The 26,423-nt window shown below is 38.5% G+C and overlaps 1 long non-coding RNA gene across 2 annotated transcripts in view, besides 1 other annotated feature; it reads left to right on the top strand.

The window, feature by feature from the left end:
• The window catches only part of LOC153910 (uncharacterized), a 111,435-nt gene that overhangs the window by 44,166 nt on the left and 40,846 nt on the right, over nucleotides 1-26,423 (top strand). The gene's annotated exons all lie outside the window — the stretch shown is intronic.
• Nucleotides 15,858-16,384: an enhancer, noted in NCBI's record as "H3K27ac-H3K4me1 hESC enhancer chr6:142898477-142899003 (GRCh37/hg19 assembly coordinates)". NCBI's record gives its function as "activates a minimal SCP1, AML or CMV promoter by ChIP-STARR-seq in naive H9 embryonic stem cells {active_cell/tissue: H9 hESC(naive)}" and the evidence as "EXISTENCE:reporter gene assay evidence [ECO:0000049][PMID:30033119]".

Below are 26,423 nucleotides of genomic sequence, written 5' to 3'. Positions count from 1 at the left end.
TTAAGAGTATTTTCTGGAAGTCTGTGGCTTGTCTCTTCATATTCTTAACATTGTTCTTCAATGAAAACAATCTTGAGGTTTATGAAATCTTACTTACTAATCTTCTGCTTCTATTGTTACTATTTTCATATTCTGAGAAATCCTTAGCTACACCCAGTTCATTAAGATATTCTCCTGGGTTTTGTTTTGTTTGAGACGGAGTCTCATTCTGTCACCCAGGCTGGAGTCCAGTGGTGCAATCTCGGCTCACTGCAACCTCTGCCTCCTGGGTTCAAGCGACTCTCCTGCCTCAGCCTCCCGAGTAGCTGGGATTACAGCTGCGCACCACCACACCCAGCTAATTTTTGTATTTTTAGTACAGATGGGGTTTTGTAGTGTTAGCCAGGCTGGTCTCAAATTCCTGACCTCAGATGATCCGCCCACCTTGGCCTCCCAAAGTGTTGGGATTACAGGTGTGAGCCACCAGGTCTGGCCCTCTTGGGTTTTTTTTTTTTCTTCCTAGTAGCTTTGTGGTTTTAGCCTTTATGATTTGATCTATGATCCGGCTTGATTTATGTGTGTGTGTGGCAGGGAATCAAGGGTTTGTTTGTTTATTTCCATGTGGATATTTACTTGTTTCAGCACCGTTTGTTAAAAATGCTGTCCAAACCAATTGACTGAACAAATGTGAGTCTATTTCTGGGCTCTATATCTTCTTCTGTCAAACTGTGAGTCTATTCTGACTCATATATCCTGATTATATCTTACTGTGTTGATGATGATAGTAAATTTTAAATTCAAGTAAAGTAAGTCTTCTAATTTTGCTCTTTTCAAAGATTATTTTGGCACTCTTAGGTCTTTTTCATTTCTACATAAATTTTCAAATCACCTTCTCAAATTCTTTTTCTAAAGCCTTCTGAGATTGTGATTGTGATTGCTTAGACTCTGTAGAAAAATTTGTGGAGAACTGACACCTTAAAAAGTTTAAGTCTGGCAGTCCATTTAACATAGTATAGCTCTTTATTTAGGTCTTTTCATTTTCTTATCAATGTTTTATAGTTTTCAGGGTAGACATTTTACATGTTTTGTTGAATGTATTCCTGAGTATTTTATGATTTTGATGTTATTTTAAAGCCATTTTTAAAAAGATGTTGTCTTTTCTATTGTTTACTCCTAGTGTATAAAAGGACAAATATTTTTCTCTATTGACTTTACATTCTGTGACCTTGATAACATCTCTTATTTACTTTCATATTTACATTGTGAATTTCTTACTATTTTCTATGTACATAATCAAGTTTTCTGTAAGTAAAAAGTGATCTACTACATAGGAATACAGCTAACTGAACAGGTGAAAGATCTCTACAAGGAGAACTACACAACACTCCATGCAATATGGATTTCAAGAATCAGTAATGTTAGAATGGCCATACTGGCCAAAGCAATTTACAGACTCAATATTATTTCTATAAACTACCAATGTTGTTCTTCACAGAATTAGAAAAAGAAAAATCTATTTTATAAATCACATGGAACAAAAAAGGAGCCACAACAGCTAAAGCAATCCTAAGCAAAAAGAACAAAGCTGGAGGCAATGCAGTACTCGATTTTAAACTATAAGAATATAGTAATCAGCATGGTACTGGCAAAAAAGACATCAATGGAAGAGAATAGAAAACTCAGAAATAAAGCTGCACTCTTACAACCATCTAATCTTTGACAAAGCCAATGAAAACAAGCAATAGAGAAAGGACTTCCTACTCAATAAATGGGTTGGGATAACTAGCCAGCCATATTCAGAAGAATGAAACTGGATCCTGACTTATTACCATATAGAAAAATTAGCTCATGATGGATTAAATATTTAAATGTAGGCCTCAAACTGTAAAAATCCTAGAAGAAAACCTAAGAAATGCCCTTCTTGACCCTGGTCTTGGCAAATAATTTTTGGCTAAGTCCCCAAAAGCAACTGCAACAATAAAAACAATCGACAAGCAGGACCTAATTTAACTAAAGAGCTTCTGCACAGCAAAAGAAACTATCAATAGAGTAAACAGACAACCTACAGAATGGGAGAATATATTCAGAAACTATGCATCTGACAAAGGTCTAATATTCAGAATATATAATGAATATAAACAAACCAAGAGGCAAAAAGCCAATAGCCCCTATAAAAAAATGGGCAAAGGATATATACAGACACTTCTCAAAAGAGGACATATAAATGGCCAACAAACATGAAAAAATGCTCATCATCACTAATCATCAGAGAAATGCAAATTAAAACCACAGTGAGATACGGTCTCACAGCAGTCAACATGGCCATTGTTAAAAAGTCAAAAAATAACAGATGCTAATGAGGCTGTGGAGGAAAGGGAATGCTTATACACTGTTGGTAGGAATATAAATTAGTTTAGTAACTGTGGAAAGCAGCTTGGAGATTTCACAAAAAACTTAAAAAGGTGCTACCATTCAACCCAGCAATGCCATATCTGGGTATATAATTATACCAAAAACATGCATGCACTCATATGTCTATAGTCATACTATTCATAATAGTAAAGACATGGAACGAACCTAGATTCCCATCAATTGCAGATTGGATAAAGAAAATGTGGTGTATATATACCATGAAATACTATGCACCTATAAAAAAGAATGAAGTCATGTCCTTTGCAGCAACATGGATGCAGCTGGAGGCCATTATCCTAAGCGAATTAATGCAAAATCAGAAAACCAAATATCTCACCTTCTCACTTATAAGTGGAAGCTAAACATTGAGCACACGTGGACATAAACATGGGAACAACAGACACTGTGGACTACTAGATGGGAGAGGTAGAGAGAGAAGCATGGGTTAAAAAAACTATTGGGTACTGTGCTGATTACCTGGATGCAACATATCCATATAACAAACCTGCATGTGTACATCTAAAATAAAAGTTGAATTTTTTATTAAAGAGTGACTTATCTCTTCCATTCTAATCTTTATGCATTTATTTTTTTCTTGCAGTGTTCAACTGCCTAATACTTCCAGTAAAATATTTAATAGAAATAGTGAGAACCCACTTTTGACTTTCTTAAATTTTCAAAAATTGTTTTAGGTTTTCTACTTCATTGATTTCTGCTCTTTTTTATATAATCTTTTACTCATCTTGTATTTAATTTGATCGTCTTTTTCCATCTTTTGAGGTTGATAGCTAGGAATATTGAATTTAAATATCAATTAAAATATAAATATATATTATATATAATTTATATATAAAATATATGTATATATTTATATATATAAGCACTTAAAGCTATGAATTTCCCTCTATGTACTGCTTTAACCTAAATCCCACATATTATAATGTTGTACTTTCATTATCATTCAGTTGAAGTATTTTATAATGTTTCCTCTGATTTCTGCCTTGACCCATAGGATATTTAGCAGTGTGTTAACCAAGTGGGGCTTTAATAAATACTTTATTGTTATTGATTTTTAATTTAATTCTATGTGGTCAGAAAACATACTTGGCAAGATTTTAAACTTTGAGTGAATTAATGATTGCTTTACTTCACAGCATGTGGTCCTTGGTAAATATGCTATACATAGTTAGAAGAAAGATATGTTCTATAGTTATTGGATTATTTGTTATATAAATGTCAATTAGGTCATGATAATTAATCATGTTTAAATCTTCTCTATCCTTGCTTATTTCTTTTTAAGTTCTAGCAGTTGCTGAAACAGTTGCTAAAATCTGTGATAGTGGATTTGGCTATTACCCTCTAATTTTGTCCGTTTTTTCTTCATGTATTTTGAAGGTTTGCTATTGGACACCTACTCATCCATGATTGTTGTCATTTTCCTAATCGACTGTTTTATCATTTTAAAATCTTTCCTTATTGCTGATAATATTTCTTATCTTAAAGCTTATTTTGTCTGATCTTATTATAGCCACTCTAGCTTTCTTATCTGACTGTTTTTATGGTATATATTTTTCCATTCTTTTATTTTCAACTTCTCTGTGCCCTACATTTAAATTGCTCCTCATATATGCCAAGGAGTTGGGTCTTTTTCCAATTTAAATCCACTTACAATATCTGTCTTTTAATCGGAGTGTTTCAATTTCATTTAATATAATTACTTACATAGTTGGATTTATGTCTACTATTTTTTTCTGTATTTTTTCTAGTTATGCCATTGTTTTTAAAATCTTACCCTTTTTCTTGCCTTTTTTGAATAGCTGTATTTTGTGAGATTCATTTTTAGTTTCTCTACTGGTTTTTAGTGTATTTCTTTGCACTATTTATTTAGTTACAATATAGGGTATTGTAAGGATTGTGAAATACATTCTTAATTTATTACATATACTTAGCATTACTATTGTACTATTCCACATGAGATATGAGATGTAAAAGCCTTGCAAAAGTGTAATCTATTTTACCCTCATTATATATACAAGTTTTCATATATATTATATCTATATACATTGTATGCCCCACAATATGGTACTATAATTTATTATGTAAATAGTCATATACATTTTCAGGAAAATAATAGAAGAAAAAAATTATAGCCTTTTATGTTTACCCACTTTTTTTTTTTTTTTTTTAGACAGAGCCTTGCTCTGTCACCAGGCTGGAGTGCAGTGGCAAGCAATCTCAGCCGGCTGCAACCTCCACCTCCCAGGTTCAAGCAATTCTCCTGCCTCAGTCTCTGCAGTAGCTGGGACTACAGGCGTGTGACACCACGCCCAGCTAATTTTTGTATTTTTAGTAGAGATGGGGTTTCACCATGTTGGCCAGGATTGTCTTGATCTCTTGACCTCATAATCTGCCTGCTTCAGCCTCCCAAGTTTACCCACAGTTTTACCATTTCCAATACTTTTCATTCCTTTATTTAGAGACAGGTTTCCATCTGATGTCATTTCCCTTCAGATAAATAACTTCCTTTTTGCATTTCTTAAAATTAAAGCCTGATGGCAATGAAATCTACTTTTGCATTATATGTAAAAGTCTTTACTTTGCATTCATTTTTGATGAATATTTTCTTTGAATACAGAGTTCTGTGTTGACAGATTTTTTTTTCTTTAATCATTTTGAAGAAACCATTAAATTGTTTTCTGACCTCTATGTGGCTAATGAGATAGACATAAACAATTGATATAGTTGGCTGTGTCCCCACCCAAATCTCACCTTGAATTGTAATAATCCCCATGTGTCAAGAGCAGGGCTGGGGGGGCAGTTTCCCCCATACTGTTCTCATGGTAATGAATAAGTCTCACAAGATCTGATGGTTGTACAAATGGTAGTTTCCCTGCACAAGCTCTCTTGCCTGCCACCACGTAAGACGTGACTGCTTCTCCTTTGCCTTCAGCCCTGATTGTGAGGACTCCCCAACCATGTGGAACTGTGAGTCCATTAACCTCTTTTTCTTTATAAATTACCCAGTCTTGAGTATGTCTTTATTAGCAGTGTGAGAACAGACTAATACAACCATCATTCTTCTGTCACTTCCTGTTGTGCACTGTCATTTTTTTTTCTGACTTCCTTCAAGATTTTTTTTAATCCTTTATCATATCCAGTTTGACTATGATGCGCAAAGGTAGGGCTGTGTGTGTGTGTGTGTGTGTGTGTGTGTGTGTGTGTCTTTATCTGTAAGTTATATTGTGTGAGGTTCACTGGGCTTCTTTGATCTCTATGTCAATGTTTTTGACCAAATTTTGAAATTTTTCAGTAAATCTTCCTTCAACTGTTTCCTCACTCTCTCCTTTTCTTACCTGTTCTAGAACTCTAATTAAACATATATTAGAGTTTTTATATTTCCCTACAGGTTTCAGAGGCACTCTGCATTTTTTACTGTTGTTAATCCTGTACTCTCTTCTTGAGGTTGGATAATTTGTATTGCTCTGTCTTCAAGTTCACTTAGTCTTTCTTCTACCATCTCTAATGTGCTGTTAAGTCTGTCTAATGGATGTTTTATTTGAGATATTATATTTTCTAGTTCTAGAACTTCCCTTCTATTCTTTATATTTTTCAATTCATTCCTATCATTTCCTGTAAATTCATTTTTTATAGCCCTTGACAACCAAAATGAGTGATTGCAGCAGGTGGCCCAATCAATCAAGGTTTATTGAGCCTGCTTGAGGATGCACCCAGAAAAACACTAGTCACAGATGGATCTGTGGCCATTTGTTCCAAAGGAGTTCTCAGGAGGTTTAGTATTTGTATTAGTCTGTTTTCATGCTGCTAATAAAGACATACCCGAGACTGTGGAGTAAAAGAGGTTTAATTGGACTTAGAGTTCCACACGTCTGGGGAGGCGTCAGAATCATGGTGGGAAGTGAAAGGCACTTCTTACATGGTGGTGGCAAGAGAAAATAAGGAAGAAGCAAAAGTGGAAACCCCTGATAAACCCATCAGATCTCATGAGACTTACTGACTATTGTAAGAATAGCATGGGAAACACTGACCCCATGATTCAATTACCTCAACCTGGTTCCTTCCCAAAACACATGGGAATTCTGGGAGATACAATTCAAGTTGAGATTTGGGTGGAGACATAGCCAAACCATATCAGTATTTATATATTTTCCTTAGAAAGGTGGGAGTGGGTGGTGGGACACAGTGAGAAGAATGGTTATATACTCGTGAGACTTTAGCTAGTGCCCAGTAAATCTACATTATACATAAGATAAGGCAAACACATGAAGAAAATGGGAATAGAGGAAGCAGACATCTCAGGGAGGGGTGAGGAAATAATTAATCCCATCGTGTCTTTGTTCTCTACCTGGGAACATAAGCTAGTAGTCAACATTATCAGTGTGGAGTCTTTGAAAAGGCTGGTTTTTGTTTAGACCTTAGAGAAGAAAGCCTAATGGTGGTGATATGGTTAGGCTTTTTGTCCCCACCCAAATCTCATCTTGAATTAGAATCCCCATAAACCCCACATGTCAAGGGAGAAACCAGGTGGAGGTAACTGGATCATGGGGGTGGTTTCCCCCATGCTGTACTAACCTTTGTTTATGCAAGCAGATAAATTTAAAAATTTGAAAATAAACACTCAAAATTTTACAACAGTTAAAATTATATTCAATGATATTAACAGTTCTTTCTTTTATTTCCCAAATACATTCTGATATAAATTGTGATAAAGAAAATGGGTTTACATGTAATTAAAGTTTTTATATCAATATTTTTAAATAACTATAAAGCTCTAATTTGTGGGTTACATGTACATCATTAGAACAGACAGGGTGCTGGCTGCTGGCTTGGAAGGCACATCAACCACAAAGGCATGGATGTATCCAAAATACGTGATAGCAGAAATTTAGGGCTGCTGCCTGGGCAGATTCTTGCTCATCTACCCTATCATTCCACCACTATTTGAGCTGCACAACTTAGTGCTTGGGCATCACTACATGAACTCCTTAGTAGCTGCATGGGCCTTTGTCTATGACAGGCAGCAGCAGATCACTCTTCAGGTGGCTGTTGGATCAGACGCCCAAGCAGCAGGACATTCTTTGATCATGCACACTGTGTTACACCAGAGACACTGCTATTGTATTCATTGGTTTCATGGACTGTGGGTCAAGCTCTCAGGCCCCTCTCTTCTGGCTGTTTGCTGAAGAGTCCCAGAAAAAGCTGCTCAAGGCTGGAGGTGGCCAACCCAAATATTCCAGCAACTCAAGCTCCATGAATGATGCAAGGCTTAAGAAATCTAAGGACACAAGAGTGCTGGTAGGTTGGGAAACTATTCTGAAGTACAGAAGTCAATAGATGATTATTATTTCTTTGGTACGTCAGTGGCAGAAACTTGTGTTATGGTTTTGTTAATTATTTTCTAATTGCCTAAAATTTTTGCCTTCTGTATTTTGACACTGTATTTTTTGGCACATAAATGTTCTGAATGCTTTAGTTTTGATATTGACTCTGTTGCCAGAAAGAGGTCCTGATCCAGGCCCCAAGAGAGGGTTCTTGGATCTCGCACAAGAAAGAATGTAAGGCAAGTCCGTAGAGTAAAGTGAAAGCAAGTTTATTAGGAAAGTAAAGGAATAAAGAATGGCTACTCCAAAGGCAGAGCAGCCCCTAGGGCTGCTGGTTGCCCATTTTATGGTTATTTCTTTATCATATGCTAAACAAGGGGTGGATGATTCATGCCTTCCCTTTTTAGGCCGTATAGGGTAACTTCCTGACATTGCCATGGCATTTGTAAACTGTCATGGTGCTGGTGGGAGTATAGCAGTGAGGACGATCAAAGGTCACTCTTGTTGCCCTCTTAGTTTTGGTGAGTTTTAGCCAGCTTCTTTACTGCAACCTATTTTACCAGTAAGGCCTATATGACCTGTATATCGTGTTGACCTCCTAGCTTATCCTGTGACAAAGAATGCCTTAACCTTCTGGGAATGCAGCCTAGTAGGTCTCAGCCTTATTTTATCTAGCCCTTATTCAAGATGGAGTTGCTCTGGTTCAAACACCTCTGACATTTCCCCCTCCCTTTTATAAGAGAACCCTTCATCCTAAGGCTTGTAGAGGGATAATCCTTCTTCTGTAACATCTTCAGGTTGAATAGGGGCAATGATATTCCTGCCTAACTATTGGGTCTCTTGCATTCAGGGTAGAGAGAAGCTCAGTCAGAAATCATTTATATGGCAAGGGCTATTCATAATTCTTGAGTGCCAATGAAAAGTGATATCTGGAAGATTAATATGTGTTCAATTTAAGAGAACATTCGGTAAGCTTATACTGCATTCTTACACATAGAGTGCAACACCAGTATATTTCACAACAATAAAGGAAAATAAGCAATATTATCCCAAGTAAACTAAATTAGAAGACTTTCCATTAACTGAACAGTTGGAATCAAGCTGATATGGGGTTGCTAACTGATTCTAATACCCGTCCAGAATTAGAATATCAATCCAGATTTTTGCATTACCCATTCCTCTTGTTTCTTCTGAGCTGCTGTCAGAGATCACTGATCGGTTCACAGTAACAATCAATGTCATTCTAAATGTCAGGAGAGAAAGCTCAAGAACAACTGATGAGACTAGAATGTAATAACAGGTGTGCCATAGTTCTTAAAGCATAATTTTTTTTGGTTTCCCATCTCCCATTTTTACTAAAGACAAATCATGGTAAGACTGATTTGCTTTATTATACTTGGTCTGATTATTTGTATAAAGTGCAGCAAGAATATTTGTCACCTAAGCTCTTTTTAAATTGGTTCTGATGGTACTTTGTTCCAGAGAAGGAATCTCAGATAAGGCTTTTTTAAAGCTGAGGCCACGCATGGGTTTATACCTTCAAATACCTATAAGCTGAGCAAATTCCCCTCCTATTGAGGTCCCAGGAAAACTTGGGCCTCCAGGGCCTGTTAGAAATTGACATTCTTTACTTACCACAGGTCATAAACCCTGTACAGGGACTGTGTAGACAAAGTATGAGGCCAGTTTTTCCCAAGGAGATTTATTGGCTCTGCAAGTCAAGTTTGATTCCTTAAAGGAAAGCAAGCCATTTCAGCCAAAGCCTTGGTAAAATAACCAGTTTCTCCAATTGTGTCTTGTTGCAAAAGAAAACAGATTCCTATTGCACTTATGCAAATAACTATATTGCCCTAAGTTAAGATACTCACAAATATTAATAGTTTCAAATTCTGGAGAAATCAGGTAGAGAGAAACAAATATGCTCCAACTTTTGTTCACAAGACTATACTCAATTGTTAAATGCTGTCAGTAGCTCAAGAGAAAAGTTTCCTCGACTTTGAAAAACAGAACAAAGGATCAGCAACATTTTAAGCAAAAAGTCAAAAAGATTACTTTAGTCTTTTATTAGTTCAGTCCATGCAGTTAACTCCTGTTCTGCTTGATATTCATGAACATTTCGGCTCTCCCTGAGAGTCCTGAAAGTTTTTCCCTCTATTTTAATGTTACAATTTCCAAAGTCACTGGGAACCTGCATTTAACAGCAGAAAGTCCTATAGCTGAGTATAACCCACTTTCTAAAGAGGACCAAAACAAGACAACAATTGTCCAGGGAATGGCTGACAAAAAGTCTTAGTTAGGACAGCCACTATTAAAGCCACAATTGACAAGGAAATTTTGGTTACCTCTGTGGCATACAATGATTTTATGTAACAATTATCAGTATTAATAACAAACATTAAGTCCTATGAGAATTGTAAGAGTTTCCCATAATTTTGGAACACATACCAATAACATATTTATACAAATACAGCCCAAAGAAAGCCAACTTTGTATTTTACAATGCTTCCTTTAGGACTTTTATACCAAATAAGCCAAATTTTACTGTTGCATTAGTGTACTATTAATGTTAAACTAATTTTTTTTTTTTTTTTGCCATCACAAACTACTGTTTAATGGAGATACACAAAGAAAGGGGACAGGTATAAATAGTTTGCAAGACAGTTAATAGCTCTCAGATAGTCCTCCTATATTGTCATAACCCTCACTGGAATCTGCACATAATAAGCTCTTAATAAATATCTGCTGTGTAAATACCCTAGGTCTTTGGTTCTATAAGAGAAATGTCTTATTGGCAAGATATGTTTAACAACTCTTTTTTATATTATTATTATTATACTTTAAGTTTTAGGGTACATGTGCACAATGTGCAGGTTAGTTACATATGTATACATGTGCCTGTATACATATGTATACATGGGTGCTGGTGTGCTGCACCCATTAACTCGTCATTTAGCATTAGGTATATCTCCTAATGCTATCCCTCCCCCCTCCCCCCACCCCACAACAGTCCCCAAAGTGTGATGTTCCCCTTCCTGTGTCCATGTGTTCTCATTGTTCAATTCCCATCTATGAGTGAGAACATGCGGTGTTTGGTTTTTTGTCCTTGCGATAGTTTACTGAGAATGATGATTTCCAATTTCATCCATGTCCCTACAAAGGACATGAACTCATCATTTTTTATGGCTGCATAGTATTCCATGGTGTATATGTGCCACATTTTCTTAATCCAGTCTATCATTGTTGGACATTTGGGTTGGTTCCGAATCTTTGCTATTGTGAATAGTGCCGCAAAAAACATACGTGTGCATGTGTCTTTATAGCAGCGTGATTTATAGTCCTTTGGGTATATACTCAGTAATGGGATGGCTGGGTCAAATGGTATTTCTAGTTCTAGATCCCTGAGGAATCACCACACTGACTTCCACAATTGTTGAACTAGTTTACACTCCCACCAACAGTGTAAAAGTGTTCCTATTCCTCCACATCCTCTCCAGCACCTGTTGTTTCCTGACTTTTTAATGATTGCCATTCTAATTGGTGTGAGATGGTATCCCCTTGTGGTTTTGATTTGCATTTCTCTGATGGCCAGTGATGATGAGCATTTTTTCATGTGTCTTTTGGCTGCATAAATGTCTTCTTTTGAGAAGTGTCTGTTCATATCCTTTGCCCACTTTTTGATGGGGTTGTTTGTTTTTTTCTTGTAAATTTGTTTGAGTTCATTGTAGATTCTGCATATTAGCCCTTTGTCAGATGAGTAGCTTGCGAAAATTTTCTACCATTTTGTAGGTTGCCTGTTCACTCTAATGGTAGTTTCTTTTGCTGTGCAGAAGCTCTATAGTATAATTAGATCCCATTTGTCAATTTTGTCTTTTGTTGCCATTGCTTTTGGTGTTTTAGACATGAAGTCCTTGCGCATGCCTATGTCCTGAATGGTAATGCCTAGATTTTCTTCTAGGGTTTTTATGGTTTTAGGTCTAACATTTAAGTCTTTAATCCATCTTGAATTAATTTTGTATAAGGTGTAAGGAAGGGATCCAGTTTCAGCTTTCTACATATGGCTAGCCAGTTTTCCCAGCACCATTTATTAAATAGGGAATCCTTTCCCCATTGCTTGTTTTTCTCAGGTTTGTCAAAGATCAGATAGTTGTAGATATGCGGCGTTATTTCTGAGGGCTCTGTTCTGTTCCATTGATCTAGATCTCTGTTTTGGTACCAGTACCATGCTGTTTTGGTTACTGTAGCCTTGTAGTATAGTTTGAAGTCAGGTAGTGTGATGCCTCCAGCTTCGTTCTTTTGGCTTAGGATTGACTTGGTGATGTGGGCTCTTTTTTGGTTCCATATGAACTTTAAAGTAGTTTTTTCCAATTCTGTGAAGAAAGTCATTAGTAGCTTGATGGGAATGGCATTGAATCTATAAATTACCTTGGGCAGTATGGCCATTTTCATGATATTGATTCTTCCTACCCATGAACATGGAATGTTCTTCCATTTGTTTGTATCCTCTTCTATTTCATTGAGCAGTGGTTTGTAGTTCTCCTTGAAGAGGTCCTTCACGTCCCTTGTAAGTTGGATTCCTAAGTATTTTATTCTCTTTGAAGCAATTGTGAATGGGAATTCACTCATGATTTGGCTCTCTGTTCGTCTGTTGTTGGTGTATAAGAATGCTTGTGATTTTTGTACATTGATTTTGTATCCTGAGACTTTGCTGAAGTTGCTTATCAGCTTAAGAAGATTTTGGGCTGAGACAATGGGGTTTTCTAGATATATAATCATGTCATCTGCAAACAGGGACAATTTGACTTCCTCTTTTCCTAATTGAATACCCTTTATTTCCTTCTTCTGCCTAATTGCCCTGGCCAGAACTTCCAACACTATGTTGAATAGGAGTGGTGAGAGAGGGCATCCCTGTCTTGTGCCAGTTTTCAAAGGGAATGCTTCCAGTTTTTGCCCATTCAGTATGATATTGGCTGTGGGTTTGTCACAGATAGCTCTTATTATTTTGAGATACCTCCCATCAATACTTAATTTATTGAGAGTTTTTAGCATGAAGCGTTGTTGAATTTTGTCAAAGGACTTTTCTGCATCTATTGAGATAATCATGTGGTTTTTGTCTTTGGTTCTGTTTATATGCTGGATTACATTTATTGATTTGCGTATATTGAACCAGCCTTGCATCCCAGGGATGAAGCCCACTTGATCATGGTGGATAAGCTTTTTGATGTGCTGCTGGATTCAGTTTGCCAGTATTTTACTGAGGATTTTTGCATCAATGTTCATCAAGGATATTGGTCTAAAAATTCTCTTTTTTGGTTGTGTTTCTGCCCGGCTTTGGTATCACGATGATGCCGGCCTCATAAAATGAGTTAGGGAGGATTCCCTCTTTTTCTATTGATCGGAATAGTTTCAGAAGGAATGGTACCAGTTCCTCCTTGTACCTCTGGTAGAATTCGGCTGTGAATCCATCTGGTCCTGGACTCTTTTTGGTTGGTAAGCTATTGATTATTGCCACAATTTCAGATCCTGTTATTGGTATATTCAGAGATTCAATTTCTTCCTGGTTTAGTCTTGGGAATGTGTATGTGTCGAGGAATTTATCCATTTCTTGTAGATTTTCTAGTTTATTTGCGTAGAGGTGTTTGTAGTATTCTCTGATGATAGTTTGTATTTCTGTGGGATCGGTGGTGATATCCCCTTTATCATTTTTTATTGCATCTATTTGATTATTCTCTCTTTTTTTCTTTATTAGTCTCACTAGCAGTCTATCAATTTTGTTGATCCTTTCAAAAAACCAGCTCCTGGATTCATTAATTTTTTGAAGGGTTTTTTTGGTCTCTATTTCCTTCAGTTCTGCTCTGATTTTAGTTATTTCTTGCCTTCTGCTATCTTTTGAATGTGTTTGCTCTTGCTTTTCTAGTTCTTTTAATTGTGATGTTAGGGTGTCAATTTTGGATCTTTCCTGCTTTCTTTTGTGGTCATTTAGTGCTATAAATTTCCCTCTACACACTGCTTTGAATGTGTCCCAGAGATGCTGGTATGTTGTGTCTTGTTCGCATTGATTTCAAAGAACATCTTTATTTCTGCCTTCATTTCGTTATGTACCCAGTAGTCATTCAGGAGCAGGTTGTTCAGTTTCCATGTAGTTGAGCAGTTTTTAGTGAGTTTCTTAATCCTGAGTTCTAGTTTCATTGCACTGTGGTGTGAGAGACAGTTTGTTATAATTTCTGTTCTTTTACATTTGCTGAGGAGAGCTTTACTTCTAACTATGTGGTCAATTTTGGAATAGGTGTGGTGTGGTGCTGAAAAAAATGTATATTCTGTTGATTTGGGGTGGAGAGTTCTGTAGATGTCTATCAGGTCTGCTTGGTGCAGAGCTGAGTTCAATTCCTGGGTATCCTTGTTAACTTTCTGTCTCATTGATCTGTCTAATGTTGACAGTGGGGTGTTAAACTCTCCCATTATTATTGTGTGGGAGTCTAAGTCTCTTTGTAGGTCACTCAGGACTTGCTTTATGAATCTGGGTGCTCCTGTATTGGGTACATATATATTTAGGATAATTAGCTCTTCTTGTTGAATTGATCCCTTTACCATTATGTAATGGCCTTCTTTGTCTCTTTTGATCTTTGTTGGTTTAAAGTTTATTTTCTCAGAGACTAGGATTACAACCCCTGCCTTTTTTTGTTTTCCATTTGCTTGGTAGATCTTCCTCCATCCTTTTATTTTGAGCCTATGTGTGTCTCTGCACGTGAGATGGGTTTCCTGAATACAGCACACTGATGGGTCTTGACTCTTTATCCAATTTGCCAGTCTGTGTCTTTTAATTGGAGCATTTAGTCCATTTACATTTAAGGTTAATATTGTTATGTGTGAATTTGATCCTGTCATTATGATGCTAGCTGGTTATTTTGCTCATTAGTTGATGCAGTTTCTTCCTAGTCTTGATGGTCTTTACATTTTGGCAGGATTTTGCAGTGGCTGGTACCGGTTGTTCCTTTCCATGTTTAGTGCTTCCTTCAGGAGCTCTTTTAGAGCAGGCCTGGTGGTGACAAAATCTCTCAGCATTTGCTTGTCTGTGAAGTATTTTATTTCTTCTTCACTTATGAAGCTTAGTTTGGCTGGATATGAAATTCTGGGTTGAAAATTCTTTTCTTTAAGAATGTTGAATATTGGCCACCACTCTCTTCTGGCTTTGCAGAGTTTCTGCCGAGAGATCCGCTGTTAGTCTGATGGGCTTCCCTTTGTGGGTGACCCGACCTTTCTCTCTGGCTGCCCTTAACATTTTTTCCTTCATTTCAACTTTGGTGAATCTGACAATTATGTGTCTTGGAGTTGCTCTTCTCGAGGAGTATCTTTGTGGCGTTCTCTTTATTTCCTGAATCTGAATGTTGGCCTGCCTTGCTAGATTGGGGAAGTTCTCCTGGATAATATCCTGCAGAGTGTTTTCCAACTTGGTTCCATTCTCCCTGTCACTTTCAGGTACACCAATCAGATGTAGATTTGGTCTTTTCACATAGCCCCATATTTCTTGGAGGCTTTGTTCATTTCTTTTTATTCTTTTTTCTCTAAACTTCCCTTCTCACTTCATTTCATTCATTTCATTTTCCATCATTGATACCCTTTCTTCCAGTTGATCACATCGGCTCCTGAGGCTTCTGCATTCTTCACGTAGTTCTTGACCCTTGGCTTTCAGCTCCATCAGCTCCTTTAAGCACTTCTCTGTATTGGTTATTCTAGTTATAAATTTGTCTAAATTTTTTTCAAAATTTTCAACTTCTTTGCCTTTGGTTTGAATTTCCTCCTGTAACTCGGAGTAGTTTGATCATCTGAAGCCTTCTTCTCTCAACTCGTCAAAGTCATTCTCCGTCCAGCTTTGTTCCGTTGCTGGTGAGGAACTGCGTTCCTTTGGAGGAGGAGAGGTGCTCTGCTTTTTAGAGTTTCCAGTTTTTCTGCTCTGTTTTTTCCCCATCTTTGTGGTATTATCTACTTTTGGTCTTTGATGATGGTGATGTACAGATGGGTTTTTGGTGTGGATGTCCTTTCTGTTTGTTAGTTTTCCTTTTAACAGACAGGACCCTCAGCTGCAGGTCTGTTGGAGTTTGCTAGAGGTCCACTCCAGACCCTCTTTGCCTGGGTACCAGCAGCAGTGGCTGCAGAACCGTGGATTTTTGTGAACCGCGAATGCTGCTGTCTGATCGTTCCTCTGGAAGTTTTGTCTCAGAAGAGTACCCAGCCGTGTGAGGTGTCAGTCTGCCCCTACTTGGGGGTGCCTCCCAGTTAGGCTGCTCGGGGGTCAGGGGTCAGGGACCCACTTGAGGAGGCAGTCTGCCTGTTCTCAGATCTCCAGCTGCGTGCTGGGAGAACCACTGCTCTCTTCAAAACTGTCAGACAGGGACTTTTAAGTCTGCAGAGGTTACTGCTGTCTTTTTGTTCGTTTGTGCCCTGGGGTGGAGCCTACAGAGGCAGGCAGACCTCCTTGAGCTGTGGTGGTCTCCACCCAGTTCGAGCTTCCCAGCTGCTTTGTTTACCTAAGCGAGCCTGGGCAATGGTGGGCGCCCCTCCCCCAGCCTCGCTGCCGCCTTGCAGTTTGATCTCAGACTGCTGTGCTTGCCATCAGGGAGACTCCATGGGCATAGGACCCTCCGAGCCAGGTGCGGGATATAATCTTGTGGTGCGCCGTTTCCTAAGCCCATCGGAAAAGTGCAGTATTGGGGTGGGAGTGACCCGATTTTCCAGGTTCTGTCTGTCACCCCTTTCCTTGACCAGGAAAAGGAACTCCCTGACCCCTTGCACTTCCCGAGTGAGGCAATGCCTAGCCCTGCTTGGGCTTGCGCACGGCGCCCTGCACCCACTGTCCTGCGTCCACTGTCTGGCACTCCCTAGTGAGATGAACCCAGTACCTCAGATGGAAATGCAGAAATCACCCATCTTCTGCGTCGCTCACACGGGGAGCTGTAGACCAGAGCTGTTCCTATTTGGCCATCTTCTAACAAACTCCCTAATTCTTAATAAAACTTTATAGACAAATTTATTCAATCTTAATCAGTTTGACCATAAGATAAGATACCTATAAACTTTTTTTCTCACCTCCCTAGCAAAGTGGATTATAAACCTCTTATAAGCCTTTATAATTTTTGTGAAAGAGCAGATCAGTGCTCTAAGAAACACCTGATGTGCTTATATTCCATTGTTCAATTTATGGAAAAATTGAATAATACCTTTAACTTTAGGTAATATGTTCATATTCAGAATTTCTTTTACAAGATTAACTTTTTGCAAGCCTTCCACAACTTGCTTAAACTTTTAGCTTTATCTTATCCAATTTAAAACAATCCTTCAACTTTTAAATCTAGGCAAAACAAAACAAAACAAAAGAAAAAAAACTATATCCTCTTGCCTTCTTATAATCTTTTACCAGAAACACATTTTACTTTCCTTACATACCTTGCTTGTAAAACTGTTTTTATTTTCCAAAGATTACTTAAATCATGTGATCTAAGAGGCATTCCACTTTTTACTTTTCTGACAAAATATTTGATTTAAGCATTTACTATTTTTAAGCCATTAATCAAAGCTCTTTTATATCATCACACACAACACATATAAATATACAGACAGAAGAAGATCCAGTAGTCGTAAGATTTTTCATTTGCCAGTTTTCTAATTGAATTACTGGCTTCAAGGTGAAGCCCTTGGAAGAACAGGGCCAGGAAAGCATGCAGTTTGTATAGCCTAATAAGCAGGCACAGCTAGAAGGCAAAAACAGACCCCTAAAATTAAGAGTCCCATTTTTATACCACCATCCTGGATCCCAAAAAGAGAGAATCAGCCCATCTCTCATGGGAGTCTTATCTCTTGGTGGAGTCTAGGGACTTCTGCATACTTCCTAGGTGTCCAAGAGCATGCTTCTCTTATGCAAATGTGCAAATCCAAGAATCCCCCCATAACTGCTATTAGCCATCCCCAAAAGTATATTTTCAATCTAGTTGGTACACACTAAAACTCTCTTATAATATTAGCAAAGTAATTTCTGATACCCTCCAAAGTCAAAAATGTCAGATAACACAATGCAAAGCCTTAGATTTTGAGAGGGATCTATACATTTTCAATTCCTGAGGTTTCATGAGGAAAACAAAGGTTTTTCCCAAAATGGGGTCTGTGGCACCTCTTGTTATCCCCAAGGAGTCCCAGGCTGTTAGAGCTTGAATATCTACTTTTAATCAAACTGACTTTTAACTACAGCACTCTTTTTTTTTTTTAAATTAAATTTCTTATTACCCAAATTTAGCCAGGCCAAATGTCCAATATTTCTGGCTTTTCAACTTTACTAAAAGAAACATCCCCTGTGCTCAGAGAAAGGAAAATTCAAGATGGTTCATGGAGGGGAAAAGAATTTTAAAATGGCAAAGGTCACATAGATATCAAATCAGAAAAGACTCATTCCAAAATCTGGATATTGAACCCAGGCCACTATAGTAAAACGGTGAAGCCTTATCTGCTGAGCTACAGCATTGGGCAATTTCCACTGTACTTCCCAGAAGGAGTCTAGAGAAGCCAGTTTTGAACTTTCAAAGGCTTTTAACTGCTCAAGATAATTTTTAGGGCTAGCTCTTGAACCCCCAAATTCCTATTCCCTGCATGGCAGAGACCAAGAGAAAGTACCACCATGTGATTACAAGGTCAAGCTCCCAAGGACATTTTTCAACATGTGGCCTCTGGGCAAGATGGTTGCCCTGAGTGACAGAAAATATAAAAAAGGGAAAGGAGGGTGCATTATTCCATTGTTACCCTGCTATGAAGAAATACCTGAGACTGGGTAATTTGTAAAGAAAAGAGGTTTAATTGACTCACAGTTCTGCATGGCTGGGGAGGCCTCAGGAAACTTACAATCATGGCAGAAGGCACCTATTCACACCATGGCAGGAGAGAGAATGAGTGCCAAGTGAAGGTGGCAGCCCCTTATAAAACCATCAGATCTCATGAGAACTCACTTACTATCATGAGAACAGCATGGGGGAACCGCCCCCATTATTCAATTATCTCCACCTGGTCTCACCCTTGACACATGGGGATTATTACAATTCAAGGTGAGATTTAGGTGAGAACACAGAGGCAAAACATATTATTCTGTCCCTGGCCCCTCCTAAATCTCATGTCCTCATATTTCAAAATACATTTATGCCCTTCCAACAGTCCCCCAAAGTCTTAACTCATTCTGGCATTAACCTAAAAATTTAAGTCCAAAATCTCATCTGAGACAAAGCAATTCCCTTCCACCTATGAGCCTGTAAAATCAAAAGCAAGCTAGTTACTTCCTAGATACAATGTGGGTACAGGCATTTGGTAAATACACCCATTCCAAATGGGAGACATGGGCCAAAACCAAGGGGCTACAGACTCCATGCAAGTCTGAATCCAATAGGACAGTCATTAAACCTTAAAGTTCCAAAATGATCTCCTTTGACTCCATGTTTCATATTCAGGTCATACTGATGCAAGAATGGGGCTCCCACAGAACTGGGCTGCTCTATCCCTGTGGCTTTGCAGGGTACAGCCCCTCTTCTGGCTGCTTTCATGTGCTGGCAATGAGTGCCTGTAGCTTTTCCAAGCACACGGGGCAAGCTGTCAGTGGATCTACCATTCTGGGGTCTAGAGAACGGTGACCCTCTTCTCATAGCTCCACTAGGCAGTGCCCCAGTAGGGACTCTGTGGGAGGGTTCCAACCCCACATTTCTCGTCTGCACTGCCCTAGCAGAGGTTCTCCATGAGGGCTCTGCCCCTGTAGCACACTTCTGCCTGGACATCCAGGTATTTCCATACATCCTCTGAAATCTAGGCAGAGGTTCCTAAACCTCAGTTCTTGACTTCTGTGCAGCCACAGGCTCAACACTATATGGAAATCACCAAGGCTTGAAGCTTGCACACTCTGAAGCAATGACCTGAGCTTTACCTGGCCCGTTTTAGCCACAGCTGGAGCTGAAGCAGCTGGAATACAGGGCACCATGTCCCGAGGCTGCATAAAGCAGGGGGTTTTGGGGCCCAGCCCAGGAAACTATTTTTCCCTCCTAGGCCTCTGTGTCTGTGATGAGAGGTCTGCCATGAAGGTCTCTGACATGCCGTGGAGACATTTTCCCTATTGTCTTGGTTATTAACATTCATCTCCTCGTTACTTATGCAAATTTCTGTGGCCAGCTTGAATGTCTCCTCAGAAAATGGGTTTTTCTTTTCTATTACATCATCATCCTGCAAAATTTCCAAACTTTTATGCTCTGCTCTCTCTTGAATGCTTTGCTGCTTAGAAATTTCTTCTGCCAGATACCCTAAATCATCTCTCTCAAGTTCATCTCTAGGGCAGGAGCAAAATCTTACCAGTGTCTTTGCTAAAGCATAGCACGAGTGACCTTTACTCCAGTTTCCAACAAGTTCCTCACCTCCATCTGAAACCACCTCAGTCTGGACTTCATTGTCCCTATCACTATCAGCATTTTGGTCAAAGCCATTCAACAAGTTTCTAGGAAGTTTCAAACTTTCCCACATTTCCCAGTTTTATTCTGAGCCCTCCAAACTGTTCCAACCTCTGCCTGTTACCCAGTTCCAAAGTTGCTTCCACATTTTTAAGTATCATTATACTATTACCCTACTCCTGGTACCAATTTACTATATTAGTCCCTTCTTGCACTGCTATGAAGAAATATCCAAAACTGGGTAATTTATTTAAAAAAGACATTTAATTGACTCACAGTTCTGCATGGCTGGGGAGGCCTCAGGAAACTTACAATCATGGTGTTAGGCACCTCATCACAGGGCTGCAAGAGAGAAAATGAGTGCCGAGCAAAAGAGAAGCCCCTTATAAAACCATCAGCTTTCATGAGAACTCACTCACTATCATGACAACAGTATGGGGGAACCGCCCCCATGATTCAATGATCACCTGTTCCCACCCTTGACACATAGGGATTATCACAATTCAAGGTGAGATTTGGGTGGGAACACAGAGCCAAACCATATCAGAAAGAAAGAGAGAAAGAAAAGCATTGTCTGCAGCAGGGTGGGGAAGGTGAAATGTGCAGGGAGGCCAGAGGAACATCCACCCATCCCAGCAACGCTGAATCAAAAGTTCAAGTGGCCATTTGTCAATCATGAAGGGATCTTTCCCAGCAGTCCCATGAGCTCTCAAGTTTCCCCTTCTGAGGAGGAAAAAGCTCCCCATGTCCCATGATCCTATATATGCCTAATTCTGTCACTCATAGCCATAAGCAAAGAGTGCAAGACAGATTCAACCAAAGAGAATTGTGGTTAACATCCCATAGTGCCAGACTCACTTTTAGCTTACAGGGACTTTACTGAGAGGGGCCTCTAACCCCCCAAATCTTAGGAAGGGCTCTAAACTTCCTAAGTTTTGACTCTAATCCAAGTTCATTCAAGTGTTCTTGCCTTTTATAAAGAGGGACCTTTAACCCTCTCCATCTTAGGAGAGGCTCTAACTCCCCTAAGTTGGGCCCCTAACTCAATCTCATCCCTTATCTGGGTACCGGACCATTTATCCAAAGTCAGCCAATCAGTACTGCAGTCTATTTCCTTTGGGTTAGGGGTCTCCTCAGTATAGTCCCTTCATGGTCACCAGAAAGATGTTACCGGAACAGGGTCCAAATCCAGATCCCAAGAGAGGGTTCTTGGATCTCGCCCAAGAAAGAATTTGAGGCGAGTCCATAGAGTAAAGTGAAGGCAAGTTTATTAGGAAAGTAAAGGAATAAAAGAATGCCTACTCTATAGGCAGAACAGCCTCTGGAGTTATCCATTTTTGTGGTTATTTCTTGGTTATATGCTAAACAAGGAGTGAATTGTTCATGTCTCCCCTTTTTAAACCGTATAGGGTAACTTCCTGATGTTGCCATGGTATTTGTAAGCTGTCATGGTGCTGGTGGGAGTGTAGCAGTGAGGACGAACAGAAGTCACTCTCATTGCCGTCTTGGTTTGGCAGAGTTTTATCTAGCTTCTTTACTGCAACCTGTTTTATCAGCAAGGTCTTTATTACCTGTATCTCATGCTGACCTCCTATCTCATCCTATGACTAAGAATGCCTTAGCCTTCTGGGAATTCAGCCCAGTAGGTCTCAGCCTTATTTTATCTAGCCCCTATTCAAGATGGAGTTGCTCTGGTTCAAATGTCTCTGATAATCATAATTTTCATCAATTTATGAAAATATTCTGTTTCTCATTGTAATTATAACTTTACTTTCTCTGGCTAGAAATGCCATAAGCATAGTTTCTTTTATCTTTACCATTTGTCTAATACTCTTTATTCTTTTAGATTTGATGTTTCTTTGTCCTTTTGATTTATATATTAGGAGTCTGATAGCCCAGGTAGTTTTATGTTTACTCTGGGTATTTGCCCTTTGGAAACAAATTTTTTCCTGTTTACTTTCATTATTGTCTTAACTAATTTACCTGCTTTTTCTTCTGCTATTTTGTTTTATGCTACTCCTTTTTGATCTTTCTTAATATTTATCTCGTTTTATTGAATCTTTAGTTTCTGTTTTATTCTCATCAGTCACATATCTTTTTTCTGGAACATCTATTATTTTATGATTTTCTTTCCTTGGCTACCCATGTTGATCATCAATCATCTTCACTCTTGGCAATTTGAACTCTTTTATGTTTTACTTGACGCTCTGGGAGATATTTAAGTTACTATTCCACAGGACCAATTCATTTTATGCATTGTCAATTCTATTCATTAATGCCTCCAATTCACATATTCATTTCAATTCTGTATGATTACAGAACTTTTTACATTTTAAATTTAAGAATGCTTCTTTCTTTATCTCTGTCTTCATCTTAATGAATTTTCTCCCTGTAATTTTATGCTCTTTTTTCATAGTTGCCATGTAGTCCTGCTTCCTTTAATGACATTAAGAAAATGTCATCATAAATTTTTTCTTTCTGATTTAAAGTTATTTTTCAAATACAAGATTTTTCTCAGAATCTTTGGAAATAGGTTTACATTCCCTTCTAGTTCAGTGTTGTTTCTCTAAAGGTTTGTTTGTTTATATATTCTTGCATGTGATCTATCCAAATTTGATCTATCCAAATCTAGGATTTTGCCACAGACAAGAAGCAGATGTCTTTAGTCCTACTTACAGCCCACCTTAGAGTTGACAGTTTACCCATTTTATCTAACCTGCAGAGCAGAGCTTCCCCTCTAAAAATATTTGAAAACACAATAGAAAGCCATCTCTTGGGAAAGGTTCATCAATAGAACTGTTTGTGGTCAAGAGAATGAATTAGGTAATCACTCAGGAACTCATCCATCCTCCAAGTTTTTCAAACTTTCCTCCTTGCTATAACTTACCAATTGACTTGTCCCCTCTCATAATACCAACCTGGTGAGCTCCAAGCACACAGAACACCATGTGACTTTGCCTGGGAGCTCTGTGGAAAGTGCTGTTTGTTTAAACTGATTGACATCATTTCCTGGAGAATTCAAGGAGTCAAAGTTAAAAAAAATTCTCTAACACTTTCAAAATGAGCAAAATTTTTCACATCATTCTTTGCTTTGGGATTTGCACTGCTAAGACAGCTGCAATAGCAACAGAAATTTAAACCCCAACAAACCACAAAGCTAAATAACAGCTTTCTACTTTTCAAAACTCAGGGGAAAACTATGCACAAGTCACAACTTGTCATGTGCTTCAGTAACTGGAATGTAGTGAGGTGAACTTCAGGTAAGCATCCCACTGAAACAAGGCCAGACTGTGGGCTTCCATGAACATACAGTTTCAAGGAATATCAGTGGGACTGACAACATTTATTGTAATGCAGTTTGCTTCCATTGATCTTCATACTGGCTAAAATCAGAAACCTGGAAAAATAGGTTTTGTATTTCAAGAGGTCTTACAATTTCCTTGAAAAGAGTTTTTTTTTCTAGCTTTATTTGTCATCTATCTCTTCTATGAGACTCTAAACTTGCAAACTGCCAATCCTGCCTGAGAGTAGGTGTTTCTGGGGAGGGTGAACTGAGAAAGGCATGGATGTGGTTTGGGAAAAGAGGGATGTGAATTTCACAACAGCAAAATGACTGTCTAAACCCACTTCAGAGAGAAGGAAATGGCTTAGTGACAAACATCTCAGGTGTGGGAAGTGAACTGAAATGGCTTTGATTCCGTAGTGTGAAAAGAACAAAAGAGTTCTTTGCTTATCATTCAGCTGCCTCAGACTCCTCCACCCTTTCCCTCTTCCTGCCTCCCTCTCATGTTCTGTAAGCTCAGTCCTTTGGAAAGTAAAATCTTGCTGCTCCAGCATTTAATGTTATGCCATTGCTCAGCAATGATCAGGATCTGAAAAATATCTCATCAGCAACTTAAACATTAATCATAGGTTTTTGAACTTTAAATAGTTGCTTGAACTCTAGCAAATCTTGAGTTAGATAAATAAAAATGCACACAAGAGGTTTCAGTTGTCATTCAAATGCTCACAGTTTATTTGGTCTCTGAGGCTCTGCAGCCTGTAAGAAAGAAGGAGTTCTTTGCATTTTGGTACTTCTGAGTAAAAGCAGTTGTGAAAAATATGTAAGGTGATAGCTCATTATGCATCTTCTGTGAATTTCAGGGAAATGTAAGGTTGGAGGTTTGATCAGTCTTTAGCTCTTTCCCTCTGCCACTCTAATTCATACCCATTGATGAGTCAGAAGCAGACTCTCAGAAAAGAGAACTAAAGCCATAGCTCAGAAAAAGTAAGTTTTATTTAGTGTTACATGTTACTTTTATTAAAGAAACCATGGAAGATTTTCTGAACCAAAGGAAGACTATAATGTGGTTGGCTAGAAATGAAGATAAAAGGTTTCTCCAGAAGGCAGGAGGCAAACTCACAGCATTTCCTCCCTGTTGCTAAGTTATGTAAGGAGCAAGATCATAATCAGAATGTTTCTTTGGTGAGCATGGAGCTTAATTTAAAAAGGAATTCAGATGATCTCATAAAGAGTCCTTCAACTGAAAGAGGAATAGCCTTGCCTGTGGATAACGCATTTATAGTTCCACTGACCAAGAGTCCTCTCACTGGGCTGTACTGAATAAATACCCTTCAACAAAGTCCTGTGTGCTATGCAGGTTATCTGCTGGTGATAAATTTTATTTTCTTTATGAACTCAAAATTTCATAGAATCATGAGCAAAGACATATTCAACAATTTGATTTGATTTATACAAAGAAAGTAAAAACCTCCCAAAAAACAAAGCACAAAAACCCATCTTTTCATAAACTTCTTCAAGAGCACCTCTACTGTATTTAGTGATAGATACATGAATCTAAATCAGGTATCTAAGGATAAAATAATGATGTGGGAAGAGATTGAAATGATGCTGGGAACAGAGAAATTTACAGGGAGGAATAATTTGGTTGGAATCTACAAGAATGGAAAGAGGTGCTCTCTAGACTCCCCTATACACATAGTGCAATGCTGACCTGCATATCCACTGATGTGATATTTCTCATGATACCAGTGCCTTATGATCAGGAAGGGATATTTCCGGCATGGTCGTTTCAATAGTAGAGATGGATTTGAGTTAATGTATCATCCATACCCTCTTGCTTGGTCCCCCTTGTGGCTTTTGAATAGGATTTCTGAACAGCTAGGACACAGTCTGTGGTCATGGAGCAGTATTAGGCTAACAAGTGTTCAAAGTCTTGTTTTTGGCCTCCAAGGTGAGGAGATGTATCCGGCTGAGAAAAAGGCCATATAAATAAAATAGGTTTATTTTATTTATGGGGCAGAGGCTCTCAAACTTCAATGTGCATCACTGCCCCGAAGAGGGTGTTTAAAATGCACATGTCTAGATGACTGCTAGAGATTTAGAAAGTTAGATATTGGGTGCAGAACTTTGCATTTTTAACCAGTAATCCAAGTGATACTGAAGCAGGTGGTCCTCCTTAAATTCAGTCTAGAAGTTTAGCTGACTTTTGCCTCTCCTCCTTGGCTCAGGTCCCTTTGAATTAGGCCCATTTACAGTTTTTAATCTGTTTTATTTTGATGAAGCCAGTTTTAGATCACAATTTACTTCTAGAATGCTCTTACTGTTATTCAAAATAGTATCATTTGGCAAAGTGCAAATGATTTTGAGAAGAAGGAACATAAAGAGCTTTTGAAAAGAAAGCCAGATAATAAGATGGCCTATTAAGAAGCAAGAATAGATTCAACTTTGAAGCTACAGAGCATTTCAGCAAATGGTCTCAGTGAGGAAATGATTAATGGAGATTTGGGGAGCCAAGGGAAACGAAGAGAGCCTTGTACTCCTGTCAATAGTTGGATCAGGAATGTTTGTTCTGCGAGAAGACCTTGTGACACAGGGAGAGCCAGGTGACTGGGAGTTTAGTGTTCACCTCACAGACTTTTATTCACTTATGTAGAAACCATTCCAGCTGAATTCTAGTTTCCAAGGCTGTGGAGAACATCCAGGAAAAAAAGTTGCCTGGATTTATAGGAAGTCAAAAACCTTGGAGTCAGCGTGGGTATTTGGATCTTAGGTTAAAACAGCTGAGAGATCAATTTGTGTTCCCCATTATTAGGAAACCCAGGGTGGTTAATCGTTTAATACGGGTCCTAGCGGGAGATGGGCTTAGCAAGCACACGGAGTCTGGTGGATAAATTGGAAAGAGCAACTTACAGGTACAGAGGTATAACCCGTCTCTCTCCACAATGATCATTT

This window comes from Homo sapiens, chromosome 6 (genome assembly GCF_000001405.40).
Source record: "Homo sapiens chromosome 6, GRCh38.p14 Primary Assembly".
In the NCBI taxonomy this organism is placed as follows: Eukaryota; Metazoa; Chordata; class Mammalia; order Primates; family Hominidae; genus Homo; species Homo sapiens.
Note: the sequence above shows the minus strand (reverse complement) of the source record. Positions and strands in the feature narration are given on the sequence as shown.